This window comes from Homo sapiens, chromosome 6, assembly GCF_000001405.40.
Source record: "Homo sapiens chromosome 6, GRCh38.p14 Primary Assembly".
NCBI lineage: Eukaryota > Metazoa > Chordata > Mammalia > Primates > Hominidae > Homo > Homo sapiens.
The window spans coordinates 169,032,820-169,038,819 of record NC_000006.12 but is presented as its reverse complement, the minus strand read 5'-3'; the positions used below and the strand labels follow the sequence as shown (position 1 = coordinate 169,038,819).

At 40.4% G+C, this 6,000-nt stretch overlaps 1 long non-coding RNA gene across 1 annotated transcript; it reads left to right on the top strand.

Moving 5' to 3' along the window:
- Positions 1-3,176: 3,176 nt before the first annotated feature.
- LOC101929460 (uncharacterized) lies at positions 3,177-4,649 on the top strand. Its single transcript, NR_134622.1, has 2 exons — positions 3,177-3,247; positions 3,760-4,649. It is a non-coding gene; the product is annotated as an uncharacterized LOC101929460 (long non-coding RNA).
- The last annotated feature ends 1,351 nt before the right edge of the window (positions 4,650-6,000 follow it).

Here is a 6,000-nt window from a genome sequence, read left to right as displayed (position 1 = left end):
TGTTTTTGTTGTGGTTGAGTTGTTTGAGTTCTCTGTAAATTCTGATATTAGTTCCCTGTCGTTTGCATAGTTTGCAAATATTTTCTCCCCTCCTGCAGGTTGTCTGTTTACTCTGTTGATTGTTTCTTCTGCTGTGCAGAAGCTTTTTTATTTAATTAAGTCCCATTTTTCCATTTTTGTTTTTACTGCTTTTTGTTTTTATTGGTCTTTGCCTAGACCAATGTCCAGAAGAGTTTCCCTAGGTTTTCTTGCAGTGTTGTTTTTAGTTTTGGATCTTATATTTGAGTCTTAATCCATCTTGAGTTGATTTTCATATATGGTGAGTGATAGCAATCCAGTTTTATTCTTCTGCATATGGCAATCCAATTTTCCCAGCACCATTTATTGAAAAGAGTGTTCTTTCACCAGTGTATGCTTTTGTTGACATTGTCACAAGTTGGCTATAAGTATGTGGCTTTATTTCTGGTTTTTCTATTCTGCTTATTGATATATGTCTCTATTTTCATACTGCTGTTTCATACTATGGTGCCATGCTGTTTTGGTCACTATAGTCTTGCAGTATAATTTGAGGTCAGGTAATGTGATGCCCCCAGCATCGTTCTTTTTACTTAGGATTGCTTTGGCTATTTGGGATCTTTTTTGTTTCCATATAAATTTTAGAATTGTTTTTTTTCTAATTCTGTAAAAGTGGCATTGATATTTTCATAGGAATTACATTAAATCTACAGATTGCTTTTTGTAGTATGGCCATTTTAACAATATTAATTCTTCTAATTCATGAGCATGAGATGTGTTTCCATTTATTTGTGTTAACTACAATTTCTTTCATCACTGTTTTGTAGTTTTCCTTGTAGAAATCTTTCACCTCCCTGGATAAATATATTTCTAGGTATTTTATTTTGTGTAGCTATTGTAAATGGAATTGCCTTCTTGATTCAGTTCTCAGTTTGATTATTATTGGTGTATGGAAATGCTACCGATTTTTGTACATTGATTTTGTATCCTGAAACTTTACTGAATTCATTTATCAAATCTAAGAGCTTTTTGGAGGAGTCTTTAGGGTTTTCTAGGTATGAGATCATATCATCAGCAAACAGTGATAATTTGACTTCCTCCTTTCCAATTTGAATGCCTTTTATTTCTTTCTCATGCCTGATTGCACTGGCTAGGATTTCTAGTACTATGTTGAATAGAGGTGGTAAAAGCGGCCACACTTGTCTTGTTCCAGTTGTTAGAGGGATTGCTTTCAACTTTTCCCTGTTCAGTATGATGTTGGCTGTGGGTTTGTTGTATATGGGCTTTATTATTTTGAGGTATGTTCCTTCTTTGACTAGTTTGTTGAGGGTTTTCATCATGGAGCAATGCTGGATTTTATCAAATGCATTTTCTGTATCTATTGAGATGGTTTTTGTTGTTAATTCTGTTCATGGATGTGTTACATTTCTTTCTTTTTTTTTTTTTTTGAGACGGAGTCTTGCTCTGTCGCCCAGGCTGGAGTGCTGTGGCGCTATCTCGGCTCACTGCAAGCTCCGCCTCCCGGGTTCATGCCATTCTCCTGCCTCAACCTCCTGAGCAGCTGGGACTACAGGTGCCTGCCACCACGCCCGGCTAATTTTTTGTATTTTTTAGTAGAGACGGGGTTTCACCATGTTAGCCAGTATGGTCTCAATCTCCTGACCTCGTGATCCACCCGCCTCAGCCTCCCAAAGTGCTGGGATTATAGGTGTGAGCCACTGTGCCCAGCCTACGTTTATTTCTTTTGCATTCAAAAGTTCTAAACTAAACTATATAAATGTTATTTTTCAATGGGGATGTTTGCATCAATGTTTTTCTACACCTATAATTCTGTGTACTAAAAAAATGTGATCTTAAAGAATAAAGAAATAGATATCTCTTACAGGACACTTAGAAAATTCAAAATTTTAGGAAAATAAATATTTAAAAAATTACCCACAATAAAACCAACAACACCTTGGTATATATCTTTCCAGATAATTTTATCTCTCTGTGTGTTTATATCAAGAAAGATAGATTTATTCACTGCATTATTTAAAACTTAGAGACAAGTATGTCTTTGCATTTTGTCATATCATTTTAGTTATTCTTAATGGATTAATTTATTCATAAAACAACATGCATTTTGAATATGTATGTCCCGATTTCCCATTCATACTGAAACCATCTTAGTTAAGCTAAGCATTCCAAATACTCTTGAAATATTGTGTGTCCTTAGATCAAGAGAGCCAGGACCAACTGACGTATTGAGTCACAATCCTCATCATGGAAGAATAAAAATCTAACTTCAGATATGAAGTGCACTTTGTCAACCAATGAAAAGATATTCCTGCCTCCAAGAGAGACATAGAATGCTTGTTTTCTGATGTTTAGACATTTTATTTTATAGTTCAAAAATAGTATCAGCTGAAACATAAAAAATGGGATGATATTAACTGGCCTGAGTGCTCAAGGCTGCCGGTCTAGACATACGGACTTGTATGTGTGCATACGTGTACATCCACAGGTACAGCTCCACCTGTCTGTGCCTCTGTCCACTGGAGGCCAGAACCAGACTTCTTTAATGGGATAGTAGCAAATAATAATAATATATATTGTTATCCCTTCTTTGCAATTCATCAGAAGAAACCTGGCACATACTTGGGAGTTGTCTTTTGTATTGTTATGTATTGTGCTGTTTAATTCTTTTACATCCAGTGCTGTTAGACAGCTACATACCACATTGTTTTTTTACTTACATTCTAATCATAATTTTGGTGTGTGTTTCTATAGTCAAAGTACTGTGACTCCCCATTGCAACAAAAGCAACATAAGCAAAAATTCTCCAAATTATGAATAGCATGTGAGTGGATTTCTACTGAATATATTATTTATTAAAAAGCTTAAAATTAAGTATGCTTAAAAATTAATGTCAGTTTAGGGAAATGCAAAATCAGCACAAAAAAAATCAGGAGAACATTACTTTGTTGTATTTCTTTTAAGTCTGTTTCATATTGTTAATGGAAAAAAAAATCTCTGCTGAAGCTTAAAAACCAGACATGCCTGTGGTACTTACAAAAGTCTGTCTGGTGTTTCAGTTGGTATGGGCATGAAACCAAGAAAATTATCCTATAGGGTACAAGTTTTCTCGGTGATTAAGTCTGCAATCACAGTTGGCCCTAGGGAAGGAATCCATGCAGCAGAAAATCAGATACTTTCAACAGCAGAGTCGACGCTACCCAGATTCACTTTGGTAAGCAATCGGTGACAACGGAAAGGACCGGCTTTTCTGTGCACACATTGCTGGTGCTAAGGTCCATGCAGTGCAGCCTGCAGCAGCCTGGGCTGGCTCAGCATTCCGGGCACTCTTCCCTGCCTTGCTCTGACGCTCAGGCTCAGCCAGAGGTAGATTTGAGTTGGCTGTTTTTCTGCTTAGAGCAGCTCTCCCACCCAGGATCTGCTTCCCGGTCTTCATTACATGCATCCATGCCATCCGCTTAGGCCTTACAGATTCCTCTTTCTCCCGACGACGGAAGATAATCAGGGACCCCAGAACTCTTGACCTCTCAACCCTGACCCCTCTCTTAGCTCTCCAGCTGAGTGTTCGTTATGATGTGGGCGGAGGGCAGCAGGGAGAACTCTCTCTGTGTGTCCTGATCCCTGGGAAAATGCATGGCTTGTAGTCATGCCCTGTGTCTTTCATGTCCTATGTGTATATGCTAACCACAGACAAGAGACCACCTGATAAAAAGAAATCCATCACAGGACGTGTGAAGGAGGCAGCAACCACGTGGAACTCGTGTCTCGAACACAGTGCAGTCTTCACACCTCAGCGCTGGGCATCGGGAGGCAGCCTTCATGTGATGCTACCCTATGAGGCCAGCAAGGGCTCCCGGGAAATGAAAACGGCAGCAGCCGGCACCCAGTCCCAGCAGCAGACAGGAGCAGGTTAATCCACACCATGGACACTGTCTATGCAAAGCGGATATTTGGTCCCAGATGGCTCAACCCTTGGCTATTACACATCCTTAAAGCTGACACTGGCATAGCACATGGGTATGTAACACTTAAAGTATTGCTGCAACCCTTCAGGAAGGATGTCCTGGAAAGCTGCACACCCCCAGGCGTCAGCCTTCTGACATCGCATGAGGAGGGGCTAAATGACATTTGGAGACCATGTGTGCTGATGTGGTTTGGATGTGTGTCCCTCCAAAACGTATGTGAAATGTGATCCCCAGTGTTAGAGGGGAGGCCTGGTGGGAGGTACTAGATCACAGAAGTGAATCAGTCATGTCATGAACAGTTCAGCACCAACCCCTTGATATGAGTTAGTTCTCACTCAGTCAGTTCACCTGAGCTCTGGGTGTTTAAACGTCTGGGAACCCCCTCCTCTCCTGCTCCCACTCTTGCCATGTGATGCTTTGGCCCCCTTCACCCACCACCACAATTGGAAGCTTCCTGAGGCCTCACCAGAAGCAGACGCCAGCACCATACTTCCTGTACAGCCTGCAGAACTGTGAGCCAATTTAACCTCTTTTCCTTATAAATTATGCAGCCTCAGGTATTTCTTTACAGCATTGCAATAACAGGCTAATGCATGGATCATCAAGAAGATGGATTTCCACATTTGATTAAATAATATGCAGCTAATTGGCCAATAGAGTGATTGTGCTTTATTGATCCTTTCCTACTAGGGTACGGTCTATTTGCAATCTGAGACAGCTTCTTACAAAGCAAGTTAATTATTTATTGACCACAGCATACTAAGCAGACATCTGTTTTTTTGCATCCGTCCATCAGGATACTCTTAGCAATGCTTGAGCATACTTGGTAGCCGACTCCAAGCAGTGCAAGAAAGTGCAGTCACTTTTATTTTATCCTGGAGTTATCTGCCTTAGTCCTCATCCCTATGGAAGTCTCTTCCCTGGCTGTGAACTGCCTCATTTGATTCCCTGGATTTTTAGTCTCTGTTGCTGCCCCCAGGCTACACATCAGATGAGTGCCCTTGACCTTGAAGGATGGGAAGACCACAGCAGTTGAGCTTCAATGACCCCCATTGCCACTTCACTCTCCAAGCTGGCCATTGCTTTTCATAAAGCACCGCAAAACTTAGTGTCTTTAAAAACAACACTAAATCACATTGTTCTCAAATCGAGCGTTCTTAGGGTTCAGGTCATCAGCTCACCCCAGGGGAATGTTGGACAACTGAGTCTGCAGCCATCTGTACAATGATGAAACCAAGGTTGAGCATCTTGGGAGGAGTGTGGGGTAGAAAGGTAAAACACAGTTCCTGGTTGGATTAAGGAAGGCACACGGTGACAGGATTTGGCAGCCCACTGGGGATGTCTGGCCATGTCTAAGGTTTGGAAGATGACAATTCTTTTTTTTTTTTTTAGAGTATTTTATTTTATTTTATTTTATTTTTCAGTAACTTCTTTTTTTAAATTAATTAATTTATTATTATACTTTAAGTTTTAGGGTACATGTGCACATTGTGCAGGTTAGTTACATATGTATACATGTGCCATGCTGGTGTGCTGCACCCACTAACTCGTCATCTAGCATTAGGTATATCTCCCAATGCTATCCCTCCCCCCTCCCCCCACCCCACAACAGTCCCCAGAGTGTGATATTCCCCTTCCTGTGTCCATGTGATCTCATTGTTCAATTCCCACCTATGAGTGAGAATATGCGGTGTTTGGTTTTTTGTTCTTGTGATAGTTTACTGAGAATGATGATTTCCAATTTCATCCATGTCCCTACAAAGGACATGAACTCATCATTTTTTATGGCTGCAGAGTATTCCATGGTGTATATGTGCCACATTTTCTTAATCCAGTCTGTCATTGTTGGACATTTGGGTTGGTTCCAAGTCTTTGCTATTGTGAATAATGCCACAATAAACATACGTGTGCATGTGTCTTTATAGCAGCATGATTTATAGTCCTTTGGGTATATACCCAGTAATGGGATGGCTGGGTCAAATGGTATTTCTAGTTCTAGATC